This window comes from Homo sapiens, chromosome 4 (genome assembly GCF_000001405.40).
Source record: "Homo sapiens chromosome 4, GRCh38.p14 Primary Assembly".
NCBI classification, from domain to species: Eukaryota; Metazoa; Chordata; class Mammalia; order Primates; family Hominidae; genus Homo; species Homo sapiens.
Window position 1 is genome coordinate 165,906,066 of NC_000004.12, and position 25,530 is coordinate 165,931,595.

Here is a 25,530-nt window from a genome sequence, read left to right on the forward strand (position 1 = left end):
AGTTTCATTAAAAAAAGTTTTATTGGAACATAGCTGTGCTCATTCTATTTTGTATTGTCTATGGCTACTTTTATGCTACAACAGCGTATTTGAGTACGTGCAGCCACTATAGATAGTGTGAGCCTCTAGAAAGCCTGAAATATTTATTTTTCGGCCCTTTAAGAAAATGCATGTTAACCTCTTAGTTAATTAAAATTAATAATAACAAACACATAGTATGCACTACGTGCCAGCTTCTTGTCATATGTTAAGTAAAAATATTAGTTCTAATACTCTTAATAACCTTATAAGGTAGATATTGTTCCAATACCAATTTAACATGTGAGGAAACTGAGACATAAAGAGGTTAATCTTCCCTGTCACAAAGTGAAGAAATACAAGGGCTAGGATTTGAACAAAAGTGGCTTGACTCCAAGCCTGGGCTTTTAATAGCTTCTTGTACTGCTGCTCCATTTGGAGAAATAGAGGAAATACAAACTATTTTAATAAACAGTGAAATTATAATATACAACCAACCAGTTTAGTGAAAATCTTGGAAATATTTAAATTATAAGAAAGGAGATAAGATATATTTAATTAATTTGAGATTAATTATTGCAGTTTTTCAGGCTCATCCATGAAAGAATTGTGAGTAGACAATTCTTTTAATATTTGGTTTTATTCACTCTTAGTAAATTGTCTCTTTGAATTAGGCCTGTATCTTAGTGTAGTGATTTTATAGGATAGTAGACTACAGATCCTTTTGTCAGCTTATTTCTCCAGTTTTTTTTTTTTTTTTTTTGGTTCAGTGTCATATCCAAGGAACTGTTCCACCAAGGAATCAGAATCATTTCCAAATTTTTAGTTTCATAACTCTGATTTTTCTTTAAACCTGTTTTATATTTTCTGCATCATTGTAATAGAGAAATCAGTCAACATTTATTTCAGTAATTGTTTGCAACTAAAACATGTGAAACAAAACAGGCTCAAGAGATTCTGACAGCTTGCTTATTTTTCTTGAAACTTCAGTTTGTGTTTTTGACATACATATATCAATGGTCTCAAAAAAGTTTAAAAATTAAGAACATACAGTTTTGTGTTTGTCCTCATGAAGATTACACTTGTGACCCCAGTTTAGCATGAACAAATATTTAAGAGTATGTCATAGTAATGTTTTTGTTAAAAGACTGTCTTTGGACTCAAGCCATATTTTTTTTTGTTTTTTAGGGCCATAGTAGACATTTCTTTTAACATGGGAAGCATGATTTTGCTCATCATGATACATTGAATCCAAATAGCCTGTTCATTGAATCCAAATAGCCACAATGGCTACAAAAATGTGTGTATTTTATTTTACTAGGTATGTGTGGAATATGTGAGGAATTAAAAGGGTAGCTTGTAAAAGGCATCTTGTCCTGCAAAGAGAGTATGTCTGGTCAGGAGTAACACAGTAAGTATACAGATTAGTTTAATAAAACGTAGAGTAAGATTAATTTAATGCAAGCCTTTTTTTTTTTTTTTGAGACGGAGTTTTGATCTTGTTGCCCAGGCTAGAGTGCAATGGCATGATCTTGGCTCACCGCAACCTCTGCCTCCCAGGTTCAAACGATTCTCCTGTCTCAGCCTCCCGAGTAGCTGGGATTACAGGCACGCAACACCACGCCCGTCTAATTTTGTGTTTTTAGTAGAGACAGGTTTTCACCATGTTGGCCAGGCCAGTCTCGAACTCCTGACCTCAAGTGATCCACCCGCCTTGGCCTCCCAAAGTGCTGGGATTGCAGGCGTGAGCCACCACTTCTGGCCTTGTAAGACACTTTTATAAACTTCTGATAAGCAGCATTCTAATATTGAAATACCTGTTCATTATATCAATTGATAAAAAGTATTACAAATGTTTCCAACAAACACTGCTATAGGCCTGTAAAGGAAGAGATACTCTTTACCAGTTCACCACGGAAGTGCTTCACAATAGGTGTGAGCTGGGTTTTGAGTAGACAGGAAGGATGAGATTACAATGAATACTAAATATTTCTCTGGCACTTGATGTTTTTCAAAGCAATTTCAAATATGTAATTTGATTTTACAGCAACTTGATAGAATAAGTAGTAATTGTTATTCTCATTTTAAAAATAATTTGACATTTAGAAGAGTTAAATGACTTTCTTACACAGCTGGTAAGTGGTGGAGGTGCTACTTATACTCCGGTCTTCCAACTCCAGATCATCTAAGTTTTGCATTGTAGCACCCCTTAAATAGAAGGATGGGTCAGGCACAGTGGCTCATGCCTGTCATCCCAGCACTTTGGGAGGCCAAGGCAGGAGGATCACTTGAGCCCAGGAGTTCAAGACCAGCCTGGGCAACATGGCAGAAACCCCATCTGTACTAAAAATTATCCAGGTGCGGTGACATTTGCCTGTAGTCCCAGCTACTCAGGAGACTGAGGTGAGAGGATCACCTGAGCCTGGAAGTGAAAGGCTGTAGTGAGCCATGGTTGTACTGTACTCCAGCAGCCTGGGTGACAGAGTGAGACCCTGTCTCAAAAAAAAAAAAAAAAAAAGGGAAGCGTGGAAAACACTAAACTAATAGCAGTCTGCATGGAATTCAGGTAAAGGAGGTTGGAGATACAGAGTCAGAGAGGGACTCAACTTTTAGCTTTTTAAATGGCTGAGAAAATACCTGTGATGGGAAGGGGTAGGTCAAGCACAGAGGCAGGAGAGACTGTGAGTAAACCCTTGCAGTAATCCAGGCCAGGCATGGTTGTGGCACAGGCCAAAGTGTTAGTTATGGAGGGAAGTATATGGATTCTGGATGTATTTTGAAGGTAGAGCCAACTGGATATGTTGATGAACTGATTGTAGGGCTTGAAGAGGAGGAAACAAGAATGGCTCATGCCTGTAATCCCAGCACTTTAGGAGGCCGAGGCAGGCTGATCACTTGAGGTCAGGAGTTTGAGACCAACCTGGCCAACATGGTGAAACCCCATCTCTACTAAGAATACAAAAATTAGCCGGGTGTGCCTATAATCCCATCTACTCGGGAGGCTGAGGCAGGACAACCACTTGAACCCAGAAGGCAGAGGTTTCAGTGAGCAGAGATCGTGCCACTGCACTCCAGTCTGGGTGACAGAGTAAGACTCCGTCTCAAAAAAAAAGAAAAAAGAAAAGAACGGCTCCAAAGTTTAAAACTTGAGCAACTGGAAGTATAAAATTATGGTTGAATGAGATGGGAAACAACTAAGAAATGAGGAGGCCAGGGTTGACTTAGACCTGTAGAGTTGAGATGCCAATTAAACATTCAAACGGTAAGTTCAAGTAGGCAAGTGGACACAGATTTAAAGTTCAGAGGAGAGTCATGAATTTAGAAGCCGTCAGAATGCAGGTGATGTTTGTAGTGGTAAGATTAGGTGGCATCACTAGGGGAATGATTGTAGATAAAGAAAAGAGTTCCAAGGACTTAGGTCTGGGACATTTCAGCGTTTTGAGTTCTTGGAGATGAGGAGGAACCAGTAAGGAGCCCGATACTTATGCAGTTGCTTTAGAATGAGCTGAAGTGAGGCCACTGAATGTGGGAAAAGCTATAAGGGTTTGTTGAAACATAACTTCAAAGCAACCTAGTGAGTTTTGTCTGTAGACCATGCTGTGGGCCTCATGGTATGATAGGCATTGAATTGTTCAAGAAAAGTCCATAATAAAACACTATAGTGATCAAACATTTTTATTTATGGGATTAAGCCGTTACTTAGTTCTCATAACAGCAGAGTGAGAAGTAAGTAACAGGGATCATTACCCTCATTTTTAACATAAAGAAACTGAGACTAGAGGTGAGAGGGTTACATGTAGTTTTGCAAGTAATAGTAGCACAGTTTTTTTCCCCAAATACCTACTGACAAAGATCTTTATAAATTTCTAGAATGATATATTTTATAAGCAGGAAACAGAGGCCAGAAGAAACTAGAGAAAAGGAGCTGCCATTAAGGAAAATAAGAGAACACTTGGAACCCAAACAGAAGCATGATCTACAAGGACAGGAGGAATCACGCTGTGGTGAAAAGCACTAGCTGAGAATCAGGAAACTTGGATACCAGTCCTGGCTGTTTCACTTTCGGAAAGCCTGGAAGCCAGTTTCTTAAGGCTTAGTGTGTTTCTGAGAACATGACTTTCTTACAGGATGGATTTGTAAGCTCATTAAAAAGGCCTGGGAGGATGCCTAGATACAGGAGTAACTTCTTGGGAGCAGATGAGCTTAGAGGGGGCAACAAATGGAGGGTTTTTTACTTTCCTCTTCATTATTATTTGAATTATTAATAATGTGTATGTGCTACATTTTTTTAGTTTCATCAAAAATTGAAAATGGGAAAAACTGTAAGACAGAATTCAATTAAGCAATTTCTAGACACCAGTAGAAAAATGTGGCTCATATCCATTGATTCCTAAATCTTAATTTCTTCTGCTATAAAATTAGGGAATTTTCAAGAGTCCCTAAAACCAATTCCATCTCTGGCATCTTGTCATCCTATGTAGAGCCACACATTTCAAGATGTGGGGCCCTTTTGTAACTAGTGTATAGAAGACAATCTTTGCACTGATGTTTTCATGAAAATCAGTTAACTGAAATGCTCTGATAACACTATAAGGCTAAAACTGGAATTTGCACCAGTACTAAGTAATTTAATAAAACAATGCATTATGTCAAATAACTACGCCCATCACTTGAATTAGTTAATGTTGTTATAGCCCATTATCCAATTTTACACATGAGAACACTGGGGCTTATCAAGATTAAGTAACATGCCCATGATTATATAGCTGCCAAGTGATGAAACCCAAGCCTGAGTACTATGCCTAAAATCTTTGTTTGTTGATAGACACATAATATTGGTACATATTTGTGGGGTACATGTGATATTTTGTTACATGAATAGAATGTGTAATGATCAAGTTGGGGCATTTAGGATATCCATCACTTTGAGCATTTATCATTTCTATGTGTGGAGAGCATTTCAAGTCCTCATTTCTAGCTATTTTGAGATATATAATGTGTTATTATTATCTATAGTCACCCTACTCTACTATCAAACACTAGAACTTATTCCTTCTATCTAACTGTGTTTTGTTGCCCATTAACCAATCTCTATTCATCCCTCTCACACCCACGTTCTTCCCAGTCTCTGATAATTATTATTCTACTCTCTACCTCCATAAGATCAACTTTTTTTTAGCTCCCGCATGTGAGTGAGTACATGCAATATTTGTCTTTCTGGGCTGGACTTATTACACTTAACATAATGATCTCCAGTTCCATCCATGTTGCTGCAAATGATGTGATTTCATTCTTTTTTATGGCTGAATAGTATTTCATCGTGTATATATACCACATTTTCCTTATCCATTCATGCATTAAGGAACACTTAGGTTGATTCATATCTTTGATGATGAGAATAGTCTAAGCCTAAAATCGTAATCACTAAATACATCTGCTGTCTCAGTCTTTTTGGTGGTAAACGACTTCCTTGATATAGGAAAGCAGTGATTTATTTTGGTTTACAAAGAGAGAAACCAGAATCTGCTTGATTTTTGTCAAGTGCCCTCATTTCTGAACCCCCTTTTTTTAATTTTCAAGTTAACTTTTTTAGTTAACTAAGTAAACTGCTCAATGTTCTTCCTGTGTCTCGTATTGATATAACCCTACCTTCATGTATTTCATTCATAAAATGCATTGCCCCAGCTTGAATGTTTCTGAAACCCAAATGTCTTGTAATTAATGGGTCTGTTTAATGTGACAGTATTTCTTCGTGCTACAGGAAAAATTAAGTCAATGGTGTTTTTTTGTTTTGTTTTGTTTCGTTTTTTGAGACAGAGTCTCGCTCTGTCGCCTAGGCTGGAGTGCAGTGGCATGATCTTGGCTCACTGCAAGCTCTGCCTCCCGGGTTCACGCCATTCTCCTGCCTCAGCCTCCCGAGTAGCTGGGACTACAGGCACCCGCCACCATGCCCGGCTAATTTTTTGTATTTTTAGTAGAGACGAGGTTTCACCATGTTAGCCAGGATGGTCTCGATCTCCTGACCTCATGATCTGTCTGCCTCGGCCTCCCAAAGTAATGGTGTTCTTAAACATGGTGTTGTCCCTGGAGCCAGAAAATAAGACAATAGTCTTTCTGTTGGAAGCACTGTTGCCTTGTTCAACAATCTAGGGACCCATACACCTAGTTTCCTGACTGCGTTCCTGGTCTTAACACACTGTGTTATTCAGATGTCCAGCTTGAGTGTCTGACTTCCACTTCTGTCTTCATTGTCAGCCACGGAGCCCTCTCAGATCTGATCCACTCCTTTGTTGCTTCCTACTTTTCATTCTAAAACTTGATTTGGTTTGCTTACGGTTCTGGTTTCCTACTCAGTGTCCGTGACCCATGTGAACAGCTCTCAAACCTGCCAGAGTATTAGAAGCACCTGGAGAAATTTCTTAAAATTAAAGACTCTAAAGTACACATCAGAAGTGCAAAACCAGTTGCTTGGATTGGAATCTGGAAATCTACATTGAAAAGAGCGCTTTCAGGCACAGCCTGATTAGAATCCCTGCCCATGTGATAGCTTTACTGGAAGCAGGTTGCCAAGTCGATTTCCTCCTCGTTCCATAGTTGTTCAATAGAATGTGAGAAGTTAGGGACTCCGGTATCGTTCTGTCAGGGTATCTTGATTAGGAACTTTTTTATTGAGAGATAATTATAACAAGACTGCATTCTATTCCCTTAAAAAAAGTATCTGTTTATACTTACTGTTGTGTAAACACATCATAGAAAATTACATTTGAAATTACATTTCCCATAGAGGTGCTTATCTTACCATAGAAAGAAAAAAAAAAAGCTTTTGGATTGAGCTGTTTTCTTTTTCTCATTTTTCTTCTTTAATCAAATATAAAATACCTTAATTATGCATTGGAGTTCACCAGCAAATATTTGAAAAAATCATCACCATGCCACATGAACTATGAAGCAATTACGTGTTTATTCCAAGCAGTTTTTGAAATAAGAGATTTCGGCCAATTTCCCAATGGATACTTTTCTTATTTAAATAACAAGTCCAGATCATTGACTTAAAAAAACACCAACAAAACTCCCTTAGTACATGATAGTTTGTTATAATTAAAGTCTTCTGTGAAAATGAAATTATTTATGCTTATTAACTCAATGAATCTTTAATACATGTCTCTGAAATTCTAAGAATCTCAATAGGTTCTGGAAACATAGTTTATATCCTTATGTTGCTGAATGTTGTCTGATTTTATTGTGAGAGAAGGCCTTCTCAGAGCTGAGTGTTTTTGTTTGGTATCTCATACTGTTTCTCAGAGACAGCATATATATGTTAGTTTTTGAAATACGGTTTAATTAGAAAGAACTCTTAAACCAAATCAATGATATGTAGCTTACTCACTTGAGAAATTCAGGGCAAAGCTGATCCTTTTTAGGTATGAAGGTCTAGTTGAAAATATGTAAGTGCTGTGTTGCAAAACAGAATCCTATATCACTGAGCCTTTCCATTCTGCATATTGCCCTTAATTTGCTGTTATACAATTTAACAGCTGTCTCTTAATAGCCATTTAAACTGAGATACTATGTAAGACAGTTATATTTTAGTTTATAATTATTTATAGCATCCACTGGGGAAGTTTAGGTACTACAAGAAGGCAGTGTAGGCTGGGCACCGTGGTTCACACCTGTAATCCCAGCACTTTGGGAGGCTAACACAGGTGGACTGCTTGAGATCAGGGGCTCGCAACCAGCCTTGGCAACATGGTGCAACCCTATCTCTACAAAAAATACAAAAAATGACCAGAGTGTGGGTGGTGTGTACCTGTAGTCCTAGCTACCCAGGAGGCTGAGTTGAGAGAATCTCTTGAGCTGGAGAGGTCTAGGTTGTAGTGAGCCATGATGGCACCTGCACTCCAGCCTGGATGCCTGGGTGACAGAGTGAGACCTTGTCTCCAAAAAAAAAAAGAGAAAGCAATGTAGTAAGTCTCTAGAATCCTCTCATTCTTTGCCTTCTTTGGTTGCTTCTAGCACCATCAAGAAATGATGTTTAAACTCTTTTCAGGAACGCTTACCTATTTTTCACAATCATTACCTTCATTAGATAGCATTTCCTGTTTGGCTTTTTCTCTATTAGCGTGTGAAAAATATTCTTATGGTTTATTTATCCATCGCTACCCCAGAAAACAATAGTCCCTACTAAAAATGTTATATTTATATAGATATAAAGAAGTCTTGAACTTACTCATGCTATTTTTTTCCCCAGAATTTGTTTTCTAAATAAACATTAATAACTTCTTGATTCTATGAACTGCAATTTGTCTGTCAGGAAAGTTATGTAGAGGCATGATGTTTAAGCTAGTTCAGTGTTACCTGAAAGACTGAATGATTCTTCAGATGGACAGAGATTGCACCCAGACAGCAAGCATGGATATTGACAATGTCCTTGTGAAGAACTGTGACATTTAACTTGTTAGGCTGCCACAATTTCATAGATGCTCACAGTAGCTCTTTCTTCACAGATAAAGACTTTTATTATGTCTAGCATAGCAAACGGTATGGAATTCATTTCTGTGATGAGTTCCTCTTGCACCCTAAGTCCCTTGGGGGTGACATGGAGTGCGAAGGTGGATACTGTGAATGCAGAGGACCCTTGTCACAACTGAGGACCCTGAACTTAGGGAACTCTTTTATAATAGGCTGGAAGCAAACCTGTCCAAGATTTTCCCCAGAGAGAGATGTTATACTGATCAGCAAACAAATCTGCCCTCTGCTGTATCTGGCTAGTTTGTCTTTATACGAAAATGTTTAAAAATATAATCTAGAACAAAGGACATCAGATCGGTACTTCTACTGACAAGATGTGCAGAAACCCAAGAGATCCATGGAGAATTGTCTGCCAACAGTCCTGAGCAATGAATATGCTCATGGTTCAAACTCTTCCCACCAGAATTGTCTCCCCACTCTACTAATTCTAATTTATTTGAGTTACCCGTGGAGTGGGTCTTTTTATATTACCTTTATCATAGGCATTATTGATGATCAATAGACTGGCTAAGACATAAATAACAAGAAGTACAGAGGAGAGCTCATCATTGATTTGGCCCCATTTCATACATATGTACTATAAGTAATATTGACCTTTTTGAAGTTCTAGAAAATTCATTAAATACTAATAGCTCAAACTGGAATTCTTTTTAAGGAAGATAGTCTGGGAAAAAAAAGAAAGTTTTGTGTTGGAGAAACAAGAATCGGCTATTTAAAAAGATCTATATAAATACTGAGAACAGGATTAAGTCTTCCTGCAGTCTGAGTCAAATCTGTGGTTAGGGCTGAATGTTTATGACGATTGAGTGATCTGATGAATTACAGGTTTATAGCTTTCTTTTCTAGGTACTTAATTGTCTGCAGGAAGCTGGCTTTTTTGAAGTGAATTTTGTGTTCACTGTTCATATGATTGAAGTTATTAATGCCAAGGATTATTTAGTCACCCCTCCCTCAGTGTTACCAACCAGAAAACTGAGGCCCAAGTCGGCTGGGAGAGTTGCCTAAAGTTACATGTGAGGGAGGAGCAGGGCTAGCCTCTCACATTTCCCTGGAGGGGCTTTGTTTATTCAAAGGGTACAGCTTATGTTAAGGTCAGAGAGACAGAGGGAGCGTGCATGCTCCCAAGACTGATTGATCTCAGCAGGAATTGTAATTCCTCTATGTATAGAAAACTCCACTCTTCACTGTAAATACCAACCCATAGTAGTATTGTATTTGGTAACTGGCCATAATGTATGAAAGCTCATTCCAGTTTGTGACTAGAGCTTGGCCCTAGTATAGAAAAATATTAATTACCATTCAAAATCACTTAAAAAAAGATGACTATCCAAAATGCAAACCCGGGGTTGCCTTAGGCATAATAAACAAATAATTAAACCAATTATAACTTACCAGTGAAACTTGCAAGCTTTGAGAAGTTGGCCTTGTTTCATGTTTGGTGAAAGGCAGAGTGGTTTAATTACTTTCGTCTGTGGACAGAGGCATTTCCATAGAGAGCTGGAAGGGATCTTTGAGAGCAAATGATCAGATGATTTTCACCCGTTTGAAGAACTGCGAGCTCTTGGAACCCCAGAGATAGGGTAGAGGGACCCACTGAGGGTGAAGATCTTCACTCTTACTTATTTCTTATAAAGCCATTTTGCTTATACCTGTTTTGTATCTTGATCTCTGTTACTTAGAAAACATATTTTAAAACACACTAATACAGTATTTTATATTTTGACAGGCGTTGGGTGCATGCATTTATTAAAACTAATTGAGTGCACACTTAAGATTTGTAAATTTTATGTAAAAAGACGAAAAAGTTACTGAACTCAATTATGGCATGCTGAAATATTTAGGGGGAGGTGTACATCAGCGTCTGTGAATTACTTTGAAGTGAACCAGAAGTAAGGTGCATTGATGGGTGGATATAAGGTGGATACCCAATAAAGCAAGTATAGTAACATAGTAATGGTAGAAGGTAGATAAAGGATATATGTAGGGGTGCTTATTGTATGATTCTTTCAACTTTGCTGCATGATTGAAAACTTTCTTAAAATATTATATGGGAAAAAACTCACCAATATAGTTTAGCCCTCTCATTTTTGTAAATAAGGAAAGTGATGCTCAGGGAGAATATGATCAAATCATTGGCAGAATAAGATCTAGTACCAAAAAATCTTCAGAGAACTGGTTCTGCTGCCTGTCTATACATTCCGATTTTAGCATTTGCCCAAGAATTTTTGCATGAATGCCAGAAAAATCATGTATTTTTGATGAAATAATAGTATTATTAATGATGAAAAAAGGCATTTTGCAGGATTATTGGAACTCTTACTTTCATGATGCTATCTTCTCATGCCCATTTGTTAATTTTTATTCTGGTAACATTGAGGCAATTTTTGTGCTGCTTGTAGTTTAATACATTAGAGTTTATTGTGAATTTCTATATTATGTAGTATTTACGGCTTAAATTTTCCTTGTTTTCAATTCACAAGTACCTAAATGCATGATATTTTATGATGAATATCTTCCTTTGAAAGTTCAGAAATGAAGGTAACATCTTAGAAAAGGTCCGTGAACGTTCTATAGATTATTTTGATGTCTTTTCTGAAATTGAAAAAAAAATCGCCTTGCTTCTAGTGTTTGACTAGCATGTCATGGTAAAGGACAACCTAAAAGTGATTTCTCCATTACTCTTGTACTGTTCTAGAACACTTACAGGGTAAGAATCTCTGGAGTCAAGTCTGCCTTAGGTTTGAATTCTGGTTATGGTATTTCCAGATGTGAGAACATGGGGAAGTTACTAAACTTCTTTGAGCCTTTTTTTCCTTGGGTATAAAATGGGAATAATACTAGTATCCTATGGCTCTTAGTATTTAATAGGTATCAGGTGTAACTTTTATTAGTAGTAAACTTAGACTTTGCTAGTGAATGATATATCTTTGTTGTATTATATTTGTACTTATAACATCTATTTATATATTATCTTATTTTTATTTATTGTTGATATTCATCTCTACATGGGATTGTGCTTCTGCATATTTACAGGATTTACATCTTGCCTGTGCAGTGTTTGCTCTTACAGTTGTTTACCCCAAAGCATGAGTCATCTACAAAGCACATTTTAGTTAAGATTGGGCATATTTATTTCTCAATTCTGTTTTCCTTTAAATGACTCTTTTGGCCTTCTTAAATTTTGGCATTGATTACTGCTTTTCAGTTTCCTCCCTAGAATCCAAAATGTAAGAATTATAGAATTGTAGCCTTGCATAACTCAAAATGTGAGAAATGTATAAGGCCGAATTAGTAACTAATTAAATTTTTTATCATTAGCGTAACTTTAAAAAATTGCAGTGCAAAGATGCTACTATTTCTTATTAAGTTGATAAAAAATATTGGTGTTATTTGAAGATGTAATTTTAGACAAATGGAAATTTTAGTTGGAAGATTATTAGATACGTATCTTACCCCCCACAGCATACATATACACATGCATAAGAAGATAGTATAGTAAGTAATGTACATGTAAGATAATAGTATACCATTTGAAGGAAAAATTGTCAAGGTTATATTTATTACAGTTCAATCGTTGTGTAATTTTTTTTGGTCCATCATTTGAAATCCTTTTTTTAAAATAATGTGATACTTCTTAGATTTAAGGGTGACAGAATGAGCTTAAGGTACAGCATCATAGAATTTGGAGGCACACAGTCATAGAACACTTACAGGCTAAGAATCTCTGGAGTCAAGGAAGATGCTTTGAGCTCATTTGGAATTTCAGATTTGTGGTTTTTAACACTTGCTGCACGTTAAAATTATTTGGGGGAGTCTTAAAAATACTAATATTTAGGTTGTATCCCAGATGCATGAAATTAGAATCTCTGTGAGGGGTCCTGAATATTCCTAGTTTTTAAAAGCTCACCTGGTGATCCTACAATGATATCAATTATAAAAAACATTTTCTGGGTTTTTTTTTTCTTTTCCACTGTTTCAAGAGGAAACAGATCACTGCTGTAAATCTTGGTAAAGTCATAGAGCTATTTATCTTTAGAATTGAAATAGCATCTTGGTCTCCTCTTACACGGTGGTTTCTCCCCTCTCCCACGATGCTATCATTTTCATTTCCTCTAGTTTGTGTTTTTTATTTTGAGTTTGTGAGGGTCCCCAAAACCACTGGGGTAGGAGCTACACCTGTAGCTAGGCCTGGTTTTGGTGGATGACCCCAGATGAATCACCCATTTGGATTTCCTGAAACACTGGAGAGTAAATGAAGACCCTGGCGTAGCTCCAGTGTACCTCAACTGGACTAGTCAAACTGCTCTGTAAATAGAGTTCTTCTGTGGTCAGGAGAAAACCCTGTGGCATTTCTAGTTGGTTACTCTAAATCTTATGGACTATGTATTAATTATATTGTACTTTATTCAGTAATAATGGAATATATGTGTAATAGAATAGTTTTAGTTTCAGGCATATATTAGGTTTTTTGAAAAGATGGAAGAATAGGCCAGGCACAGTGGCTCACACCTGTAGTCCCAGCAGTTTGGAAGACCAAGGGAGGAGGATCACTGGAGCCCAGGAGTTTGAGGCTAGCCTGGGCAACATAGGGAGACCCCACCTCTACAAAAATAATAAAAAATTAGCCAGCTGTGTTGGTGTGCACCTGTAGTCCCAACTACTTGGGAGGCTGAAGCAGGAGGATCACTTCAGCCTGGGAGGTCAAAGCTGCAGTAAGTGGTGATCACACCACTGCACTCCAGCCTGGGTGACAGAATGAGACCCTGCTTCAAAAAAAAAAAAAAAAAAGAATAAACAAAAATCAATATTACTTTGTCATTGGAACTTAATAACTTAATTAAAATAATTTTACCTATTTTATGATATTATTACAATTTTGTTGTTATTTATAGACAATATAATTCATATAGTATATATATAATTAACTGACTTTCTGTGTATTCCATAATTATTTGGAATATGGAGTTGTAATATTATCACGCCATCAAGGCTAACCTCCAAATGAATGGCAATATGGAGAAATGTGTTTGTAACTCACTTATGATACATTCTTTGGATAAATACAGCTTATTCTAGGCTTTCATCCCCATTTCTTGCTGTGGCGGGATAATGTTGTAGTCTGAAATGGCATGTGGCCAGACGTGGATGCAGTATTAGTGCCTCTTGCAGGCCTTGTTTAAAACACTCACTCTGGGATACTACTGTGCTTCTTTACTTCCAGACTGACCACTGCTCTAAGCAGTGTTGGGGCAATGCCTGGGCTGCCCGAGCCCTTGAAGTTCAAGAAGAAGCACCTGGACTTCTCATGAGGGGAGGTCAGAGTCAATGTAAGTGACTTCCTAATTTGGGGGGCTAAATCCCTTCAGTGATTGAGGTCTGTATGAAGTCAGCCATATAAATAGCTATTTCCAATGTGTTTTATGTCAGCATCATACCCCAAAATACTGCCATTGACCTAAAATAAAACTTTAGAAGTGTTTCTCAAGTAATAAATGCCATGCGTCTCCTGTGAAAATCATCATTTCCCTGAGTTATCCATTGATATTTTCAATTCCATGAAAATACTACTTTGAGGACATTGGAGTTGCTTTGCACGTTGGCATCAATTAAGAGAAAACTTAGAAAGTCTAATTTAAAAATTACTTGGACTTTATAGCTAAGTAGAGAGCTTTATTTGTCAGGCAGAAATGCATATGTGGGCAAAGGTGAAACATTTATAACTTTGAGAATAGTTTTAATTTTGCTAGAGTTAGAGAATTGTTGTTGAGCATTGTTGGTTAATACAGCTTTATATCATTTCAATGATGTTGCTTCAGGAACTCCCAATCATGTAATAATTCTCAAAAGTAACAGTTCAGTAAATTGTATCAGAAAATACTTGCCATGTACACAAATGGACAATAGAAATGGTAGAAATAATGTTTATTTGTGAGAAATTGTAGGGGAATAGAATTAGGTTTCTCCTATAAGGCAACCTAATTTGATGCTTGTATTAAGATGGAATTTTCATTAAAAACCGAGATAGGTGAGAAAGTGATGAAAGAATAGAAAATATTACAATCCCATTTTCATTCTTATCAAATCCTGAGGATCTAAATATCTTTTCAAATATTCTTTTTGTTTATAAGTTATATGGTAATGGTGTTTGGAGATCATGTGAGGATCATTTATCTAGTACAGTTCAACTTTAGAACATTTTGCATAAAATTATAATAATTTGAATAGGAGGGAAAGCAAAGGTCTACAATAAGTAAAGGTTCAAATTAGCTTATTTTTTTCCTTTGTCATGGCTTAGATCCAACTTAGATAAATTTGAGCAATGAATATTATACAAACAAATGTTTTACAAATAGTACTTTCCTTAATTGAGTCTATCCTGTAACACATTAAAATCACATGCATTGGGAAGAGCGTGGAACATGCAGTTCAAAAGCTTCAGGTATACTCTAAGTTCAGACACCCCTTTTTACTACAGTGTCATTTATGTTCTCTCAGCATCAGACCTGATAACCTGTCCTGCCTACCCTCCTGGGTTGTTATGGGGCCCAAATGAGATGACATATGGCATATGCGAAAGTGCCTTGCTAAGTATAACAAGCTAAATAAAATTTGTTATTCTTTTGGATGCAGCATTTAGAACAAAACTTTTATAAAAATCAGGATATTTTATCCAACAACCTTAGAGATGGTTGTCTTTTTTATACGTGTATTTTGGTTAAAGCAAGAAACAAAGTAATTAATATAGAGTAGGCTAAAATGCATGGCATAACAACATCAAAATGCAAAATAGCTTCAGTTACCATGGCATATTCTGGAATCAAACTGTTTTTATTAGTTCCCCGTCTCCCTTTCTTTAACTTCTCCTCCTTCCTTCTCTTTCTTTCTTAACACTGTTTCTTCCAAATTGAAACGTCTTTTCTGTTTATCTCCTGACCATAAGCTTTATACCCCGGGGACCCTTCTTTCAAAGTGTTATATCACTTAGTTATTCTGGCAGATTTTGTATAAGGCATTTTTGACACCCTTCCCTTGATGTCTTATAGTTAGACAAGGTGACGTTCTAAGCCACTGGACCAGAAACAGGAAAAGCAGTGTTTGGTCCCCAAGGAGTGATAAAACTACAGGTAGTGTTGGCAGGTGTGTATAGTCACACTTCAGCTGAGACTGTTCTGTGGTTTGAAACTCTTTAGCTGTATCTGTCATACCACTTACAGTTTTTTTTAAAAAAAAGTTTAAACATTGCATCACTGCATGTTTAGAATAAAGTAACTCAGAGCAGAAACGTAGAAAAGTAATGCATACAAAGGAAAGTAAACAGAGCATGAGAAGAAATACAGAGAAACCTGAATTATATAATGAAAATGGCAAAGATAAATTTTAGGTTGGGAGATGAGGAGAAGACTTGGATGAGAGAGAAAGAAAAGAAAACTGATTTTACCAGGATTGCTCTAGCTTTTCAGGGCTTATTTCAGAAAAGCTGACTAGGGCTCTGGAACCCAGGGAATCAGTGCTCCCCAGTTGACCTATGCCAAGAACACTGGGAAGGGAGAAAAAGCCAGAAGTGAATGGGTAACAGAAGGTAAGGACTCATTTATTCTGGCCTTCATAGTTTAAACAACATAAACTTAAGAGGAGTATTTGTTTTGAAACTATTGAAACTTATTAGCATCAAATACTTGCTATGATTCTTTGTTATTGGTTGGTTGTTTTTGAAACCTCTGGTTGAAAGAGTGGTTTAGAAAGCTCAATATTTCCGTAGCTATGGTTTGCCATCCTGTTATTACCCTAAGGCAGAAAATTGGGGTTGCTTCTTCTCTATTATTCTTCTTCCTTCGTTTCTTTAATATAATCATCCCTTTTCTTCCCTGCCTTTCTTCCCATGTCTCTTTGTTCTTCCTTTGCTTACTTGTTTTCTGTTCCCCTACTCCAAAATTTTAGAATGATTTATTCAGACTTACAAGTCATTACATGACACTGTAAAATCTCAGAAATATTTTTCTTCAGGCATATCAATAATAAGTAATATCAACTCAAAGAAGATTAATGTGCCACTTTGAATTCTCAAATTTTCTCTACTGTGAAAAGAGACTAGTATTTGAGAAAAACATACAAGTTAAAACCAGAATATTCAGAAATTTGGGCTATTTTTGAGCATTAGCTTATGCTTCTCAGAATTTATATGTATGTAAACACTGGAAATTTTGGACTATGATATTTAGATAGAGCCTAATCTTACTGAGGGTTACTATCTGGTAGCCAGCACAGGATTTGTGAAAATCAGTCTCTGATTCCTTGAGATTTCTTTGTTTACCTGGTTTCTGCATTTGAGTGGTTATTGAGCTGCTGTAGTGTACTTCTGTCTCTCAAGTAGGGATATCATTAGCTGGCTTGTACTTGTCTTGGAAACATTACAAAAAAAGTGCCCCTTCTGAGCCAAAGAATTATAAACCACTTTTCAGTTTGGCTTGGCATTGAAATTGGGCTGAGTTTAGGCCCCTCATGCCACCCAGGAACTTCTGCACATAAATAAACAGTACAATCATATGCAGTAATCCCTAGGGAAAATGTGATTTTTTTTCTCTAAAAATGATGGTGCTTTATAAATCATCAAGTCTTCAAACCACAGCAAAATTTTTTTCAGTCTTAGTCAATAATCAGACATTGCTGACTTTTGTAAGTAAGAGATTATCAACATTTTATCTGTCAAATATTTAAATATTTGACAAATCAAATATTCAAAGCTTTAAATAAAGTAATATTGTAGTAATATGATATAAATAGGAAAGTGCATCGGAAATATAGGTATACCTTTTTTTTTTTTTTTTTTTTTTTTTGAGACAGAGTCTTGCTCTGTCGCCCAGGCTGAAGTGCAGTGGTACGATCTCGGCTCACTGCAAGCTCCGCCTCCCGGGTTCACGCCATTCTCCTGCCTCAGCCTCCTGTCCTGAGTAGCTGGGACTACAGGCACCCACCACCACGCTCCACTAATTTTTTTTGTATTTTTAGTAGAGACGGGGTTTCACCGTATTAGTGAGGATGGTCTCGATTTCCTGACCTTGTGATCCGCCAGCCTTGGCTTCCCAAAGTGCTAGGATTACAGGCGTGAGCCACTGCACCTGGCTGGTATACCTGGTTTTATTGCACTTTGCTTTATGATGCTTCACAGATACTGCATTTTTTTAACACAATTTAATGTTTGTGGCAACCCTGTGCCAATGCCATTTTTCTAACAATATGAGCTCGCTTCATGTCTCTGTGTCACATTTTGGTAATTCTCACAATATTTCAGACTTTTTCATCATTATTATATCTGTTATGGTGATCTGGGATTGATGATCTTTGATGCTATTCTTGGAATTGTTTTGGAGCACCATGAACCATGCCCATATAAGACAGAGAACTTTATCAATGTTGTGTGTGTCTTCTGACTGTTCCACTTACCAACCATTTTCCAGTATCTCTCCATTTCCTTGGTTCTTTCTATTCCATGAGACACAACAGTATTGAAATTAGGCCAGTTAATAACCCTACAGTGGCCTCTATATTTTCAAGTGAAAACAAGAGTCTCACATCTCTCACTTTAAATCAAAAGCTAGAAATGATAAAGCTGACTGAGGATAGTATGTCCAAAGCCGAGATAGGCCAAGAGCGAGGCTTCTTGGGCCACAGAGTTACCCAAGTTTTGAATGCAAAGGAAAAGTGCTTGAAGGACATTAAAAGTGCTACTCTGGTGAACACATGAATGATAAGAAAGCAAAACAGCTTATTTCTGATATGGAGAAAATTTAAGTGGTCTGGATAGATCAGTCAACCACAACATTCGCTTAAGCCAAAGCCTAATCCAGAACAAGGCTCTAACTCTATTCAAGGCTATGAAGGCTGAGTGAGGTGAGGAAGCTGCAGAGGAAATGTTGGAGGCTAGCAGAGGTTAGCTCAGAAGGATTAAGGAAAGAAGCCTTCTCCATAACCTAAAAGTGCAAGGTGAAGCAGAAAGTGCTTTTGTAGACGCTGCAGCAAGTTATTCAGAAAATCTAGCTAAGATCATTGATGGAGGTGGCCACACTAAGCAACATATTTTCAATGTAGATGGAGCACCCTTCTATTGGAAGAAGATGCCATCTAGGACTTTCATAGTTAGAGAGGAGAAGTCAATGCATGACTTCGAAGCTTCAAAGGACAGGCTGACTCTTTTGTTAGGAACTAAGGCAGCTAATGACTTTAAGTTAAAGCCAACGCTTATTTACCATTCTGAAAATTCTAAGGCCCTTAGGAATTATACTAAATCTACTCTGCCTGTGTTCTGTATATGGAACAACAAACCCTGTAATACAGAACACCTGTTTACAGCATGGTTTATTGAATATTTAAGTCCACTGTGGAGACTTACTGCTCCAAAAAAAAGATTCTTTTCAAAATATGACTGCTCATTGGCAATGTAGCTTGTCACTCAAGAGTTCCAAAAGAAATGTCCATGGAGATTAATGTTGTTTTCACACTGCTAACACAACATCCATTCTATATCTCACAGAGGAGCAATTTTGGCTTTCAAGTGTTATTGGTTAAGAAATACATTTTGTATGGCTATGGTTGCCATAAATAGTGATTCCTCTGATGGATTTGGGTCTGAGCAAAGTAAATCGTAAACCTTCTGAAAAGAATTCACCATTCCAGATGCCATTATGAACAATGAGATTCATGGGATGAGATCAAAATATCAACATTAACAGGATTTGGAAGAAGTTGATTCCAACTCATATGAATTACTGTGAGGGGTTCAGGATTTTTAGTGGAGGAAGTAATTGCAGATGTGATGGAAATAGTTAGAGAACTAGAATTAGAAGTAAAACCTGAAGATGTGACTGATTTGCTGCAATCCCATGATAAAACTTGAGTGGATAAAGAATTGTTTCTTATGGATGAGCAAAGAAAGGGGTTTCTTGAGATAGAATATACCCCAGGTGAAGATGCTTTGAGCATTGTTGACATGACAACAAAAAATTTAGAATATTACATAAACTTACTTGGTAAAGCAGTGGCAGAGTTTGAGAAGACTGACTTCAAGTTTCAAAGAAGTTCTATTGTAGGTAAAATGCTACCAAACAGAATAGCATGATACAGAGAAATTCCTTGTGAAAGAGTCAATTGATGTGACAAATTCCATGTCTTATTTTAGGAAATTGTCACAACTACCCCAACCTTCAGCAACCACCACCTTGATTAGTCAGCAGCTATGAACACTGATGCAGGACCCTCCATCAGCAAAAAGATTACTATTTACTGAAGGCTCAAATGACTGTTAGCCATTTTTAGCAATAAAGTAATTTTAGGTTAAGGCATATACTTTTTTTTAGAGATAATTCTATTGCACACTTAATAGACTACAGCGTAGTATAAATATAACTTTTGTATGCACTGGGAAACAAAAAGGTTTGTGTGACTCACTTTATTGTGACATTCACTTTATTGTGGTAGTCTGGAATCAAACCTGCAATATCTCCAAGGTATGCCTGTATAAGAATTGTTTCTATGGTATTTAATGAGATTTGGGGCTAGGAAAGCAATTTGATTTAAATGAAAGATTGAAATTTCAGGAAGTATATATTGAAATAGAAGTACTATACCAGATAATGTTTCTGTCCATCTATCTATTTTTTGACACATTCATACAGCTTTAAGACAATACAGAGAAGGTAGAAACTAGGATGGGGAAGATTTCTGGTTAAAAACTTCACACTTGAAGTCATGATACTTAAATGCATTTTAAACACGCGAGTGACTTAAAATTTGCACGAGAACTGGAATTTGGATATAGTATGATTTTCAGTTTGTTCTTATCTCTGGTAGAAGTTCTTATCTTGTGGGGACAGGAATTCCACAGAGGAAGGTGATGCGGATAGGAAATGGGATACTACTCTGTCTCAGGAAGCAGAAGGCAGAGGGGGGAGTCCTCTGTCTTAAGTACATTTTGGGTCTAATTTGCACAATCTGGTGATAGAATCACTCGAGTTCCATGTATCCCTGCTGCTGTCTTGGACATCAAAGCTGGCATTAGTGCCAGGTATCGTGTTTATTGATATTTAAGCCAGAGTGGACAGTTGCTACCCAGTGGTGCCGTACCAAAGTCAGGAGCTAGAAGCCAGACTCCAAGAATTCCCAGCCAGCTAGCTTTACTGGCAACTCTGTCGTTTCATTAACTTTGCAGTAATGGAAGTTCCTGGTTTGTGCAGTTCAACAACGGTGGTTTTGGACTGTATCTACTTGTAATGATGAAGTTTTATTGCACTAGATGGATAAAATATACTAGGTTAATGTTACTCCTTTTTTCAAAAAACAGTCTCAGTTTCTTTTTCAAAAATAAAAAGTACTAGCTCTGGCCATTGACTATTTATGTTTGTTCCTACAGTCCTGAAATGTGAATTTGATGTTATGCTGCATATTTAGAAACTAGAGTAGAACTCTGCAAACTATGAAGCAACTTTAAGGGTTAAAGAGAGGAAATCCCAAATTCCTAAAATGCACAAGTATGTATAAAAATCTCAATTAGAAAGCTTTATATACCATAAAACAATAGATAGTTTTTGGAAGATATATACTAAAAGCAAATGAAGGACATTCAATCACTCTCTTAGTAATTTTATTTCCGTAGGCGATGTTGTGTAGTAATACTGAATTGCTGGTTCTTATGCTTAATACTGAGCAAGGAACTTTAAGTTTAAAGTCAAGCTAAAGTAAAAATTATTAAGATTATCTTAAGAACTTGTTAAATGTGTTTAAATTTTTTATGAACTGGAAGTTTTAGTTAGTTTTTTTCCCTTTAGCTGTTGCATTAGCAGCCATAGACCAAGTGACAACATCGTTGTTTTTAATAAAACGGATTAATAAAAATGTAAGAGGATTAAGCATTTCAGGTTCTGGCTTCTATGCTTAATATGAGAGTATTGGTTTGAAGCCAGTGTGCCATACATGCTAATTGATTGCTACTTTGCTTGAAGTAATGTAGAAGATTATCTCCTGTAAGATTGTTCATCTAGGGCGGTTATTCCCAACCAGGAGCAATTTTGCCTCCAGGGGACATAAAGCAATGTCTGGAGACATTTTTGATTGTCACATTTGGGGGTGGAGTGTGTTGATACTGGCATCTAGGGAGTAGAGGCTGGAGATGTGGCTAAATAACCCACAATGCAAAGGAAAGCCCTCCACGACAAAGAAATATCTTGTCCAAAATTACAGTAGGGCTGAGGTTGAGACCTCTTTGTTCTAGGAATATTTCCAGTTTGGTTTCTTCTTTATCTCCTTTTCCTTTCCTTCCTTTCCTTTCTTTCTTTTTCCCTTCCTCTTAGTTAAATAGGTATGTGTCACTTGGTATGGAGATGAGTAAGCGTCTCTCTGTTTTACGCTAAATGTAAGCTTTTCAGAGTGATTTCTCAGGGTGTGGTTTTGTACAGAGTGGAAAGGGAGTCGAAAGCCATGCATTGTAACTGTATAACCTTGGGCATGTCACTTATGCTTTCAATTCTTTGTTTCTAAAAATCAGAATTAAATGAGATCTAAGATTTCTTTTAGAGCAACAAATTCAAACTAACTTGGTGAAATCATTGACTCAACCGGACTTGAGCACCCATTTTGTCAAACAATGTGCTCTAAGATTCATATGATACAGAAGACATAGTTCCTGATGTCTAAACGCCTGAATCTAGTTGGGGAGACGGCAGGCATGTAAACAGAAATAACCATACACTGTTATAATAGTTCTAATGAAAGTTCTACAGTAGAACAGGGTAGGAAAGCCACTCTCTATAGGAGAGTTGGGTAAGTCCTCTGAGAGAGGATGGAATTTGAATTGGCTATTGAAGGAGAGTAGGGATTTGCCAGGAGAAAAGGAGGAAGAGCATTTCAGGCAAAAGGAACAGCAAAAGCTAAAGCTTAGAATTACAAAAAGCCCTGGGATGTTCTGGAATGTTGAAAGCTTCTGTCTGTCTCGAACATGCAGATCACTGAATAAAAATATTCTTTTTGTATTGCTTTAACATATCAAAAATTTCCAAAACAATCTAAAACCAGGAAAAATAAATATTCCCATCTAGCCATTGCTGTTGGACTTTAGCTGTTCACTCCTCTAGAGTGTGTGCATCACAAGCACACACAGCCTCATTTACAGTCCCAAGATTCCTTCGGACTTCATTCTCCTACTTTGCTTGTCTTAACTTGCGCCTCATTGTTTATACTGGGACTTGTGATGCAGACAAGTTCAAGTACAACAAATCCAATTTTTTAAAAAGTGTCTGATTTTTTTTCCTCATCAAATTCTCTTGAAGTACTTTTGAATTTTAATAGCCCCCTTGGGGCAGTGGATTTGGGTAATTAAAAATGCTGATTTAATTCACAAACTCAGGAGAAGCAAGTGTCGGACCATCCCATTGAGCCCTTCTACACCACGTGGAGAAGTTGACGGCAGAAATAGTGCCAAGACTTCTGGCCTGGCACAATCTGATGACAGGCAGCACTAATTTTTGGCTTCGGGCAATCAAATGCTGCTCAGCATTGTTTAACAAGGGGTTCTTAGTGTGAACTAAGCCACCAACACGATTTTCTTTGGTAGCCGTGAAAGTCAGCTTAGAGAATGTCACAAAAGGAAACTGTGTATTCTGAGGGAAACTCATCTTTCTATTGTTTAAAGAAGTAGAGGGAGGCCAAGGTGGGCGGATCACGAGGTCAAGAGATCAAGACCATCCTGGCCACCATGATGAAACCTCGTCTTTACTGAAAATACAAAGAAAGTAGCCGGGTGTGGTGGCACATGCCTGTAATCCCAGCTACTCAAGAGGCTGAGGCAGGAGAACCGCTTGACCCCAGGAGGCAGAGGTTGCAGTGAGCCAAGATCGTGCCACTGCACTCCAGCCTGGTGACAAAGCAAGACTCCATCTCAAAAAAAAAAAAAAAGTAGATAAATTTTACTTGAGTTTTTCCTCAGCAAATCTGACTTTTCTCAGGAGAAGGGAGTTTAAGTGGAATAGCTCTGTTGGTTTCCTTTAGAAATATCCAGATATAAAAAGAAGTTTTGTAGTAGATATCACTGTGACTTAAAGAAAGTTCAGGAAATCTGACTTCTATTTCTAGCCTAGCAGATAACTTTTTGTGACACATTATTCCTTGATGTCTGAGATTCTTTCTAGAAATCAATCTAATAATACCTGCTGTTCGTTGCTCAGGACTTCTGAAGTAATGTCTGCAGACTATGTGAGAAGAAAAAGGTTCTATCACACAAAGTATTTTTCCACTCTTGATATCAGCTCATTCCTTGTTTATATGATTAAGTTTGAAGTAGTCTGACATTTGGCAAACTCTTTTTTTTTCCCACCAGAAACTAAAATTCATGATTAACTCACTGCTCGCTATGAATTTGTCACAACTTCACTTAACCTAATAAATATCCCAGAAAGAGCAGACTTGGCTGGAGTTGAATCAGTACAGCTTTACTGATTTGGCCACTAAGTTAAGCCCATACTTTTTAATCTGGATTGAGCTAAGGGGGAATGTTCAGAAATCAAGGTCTGGGTGCATTCTCCCAGAAATCACTGGAGCTCAGCTGGCTTTATTAGCCTGGTGAGAGGAGGGGGAGGTATAAATAAATGCATAGCAGACACCACTTTTTCCTCTGGTATGTGTATAGACCTTTGGCGGTAGTAGTAGAGGGGTTATAATAAACAATTAATGGATGATCAATCTTAAGTATGATATAGGAGAATTTAAAGTATTCTGAGTTCTTAAAGACTATTCACTATATAATATGTGATAACTTATATTCTTTTATTCTGTTAGATTTTGCTTTCTAAATGAATAATCATATACTGCATGTTTTAGAGCAGGGATAGCTAAAATTTTACTGAAACACAGTAAAATTTACTGTGCTTTTGTGCCACAAAGGCAGAGTGAAGTACCTCCAACAGAGGATTTATGGTCCACAAAGACTACAATAAAATATGTACTATCTGGCTCTTTACAGAGAAAGTTTACTGACTCCTGCATTAACTAAACACCTTTTAAAACAAAAATGAATTTCTGCAATTGAGATCAGTTCTCTCAGGGTCATTATTCACCTAGACAAATGAAATTCTTCTTTTGAAAAAGTGATAACAAATACGTTTTTCTCATCATATTTGCTTTATAATACTTGAGAAATTCTTTTAAAATGCAATTGTTTAAATAATGTCAAAAGAAACACTTCTTGTAATTTATAAGCACTCCAGAAAAAAACATATGCATATATGTAGTATAGTGACTGTAAAGTGATCTTGAATAGTATGTTATTGGTTGTGTTAGGGAAATGAATAAATAACAATAACAATAGCAAATGCTTCTAAAGTGCTCCTTGGGTGTCAAGCACTGTTCTAAGTAATTTTACATTTCTTTTTTCAGCAACCATTTAAAGTAGGATAATTGTTACCTCTCTTTCATAGATTATGTGTTTTGTTGTTGTAAATAAAGTTGAAGAATAGGTAAGAAAAACAACTTATAAAATATCATTTGTAATTTATTTCATAGGTTTATGGACACAACAATAATTATATTTATTGAGATCATAAAGCCAAGGCATTCGACTATATTCCATAATTAAAGCATTAAAAATGATAGAGAATAGTTTTAATAGCATAGGAGAGTTATCTTGAATAGGAATTTGATAGTTTTCAGTTCTGAGCTTAATTTAATTTTCTCAAGCTTCTTCTATGCCTAATTTAACTTTATACAGTTAGGTTTCTTTTGGGTTTACTTTTCTCATCCTTTAAAGTTAAAAACATTCAGCTGTGATTAGAAATTGCAGTGATTGGCCAGGCGTGGTCATTCACACCTGTAATCCCAGCACTTTGGGAGGCCAAGGCGGGCGGATCACGAGGTCAGGAGATTGAGACCTCCTGGCCAACACGGTGAAACCCCGTCTCTACTAAAAATACAAAAAAAATTAGCCGGGTGTGGTGGTGGGCACCT

At 36.9% G+C, this 25,530-nt stretch overlaps 1 protein-coding gene across 2 annotated transcripts in view; it reads left to right on the top strand.

The window, feature by feature from the left end:
• Positions 1–25,530, top strand: part of TLL1 (tolloid like 1) — a 231,221-nt gene that overhangs the window by 32,829 nt on the left and 172,862 nt on the right. The gene's annotated exons all lie outside the window — the stretch shown is intronic.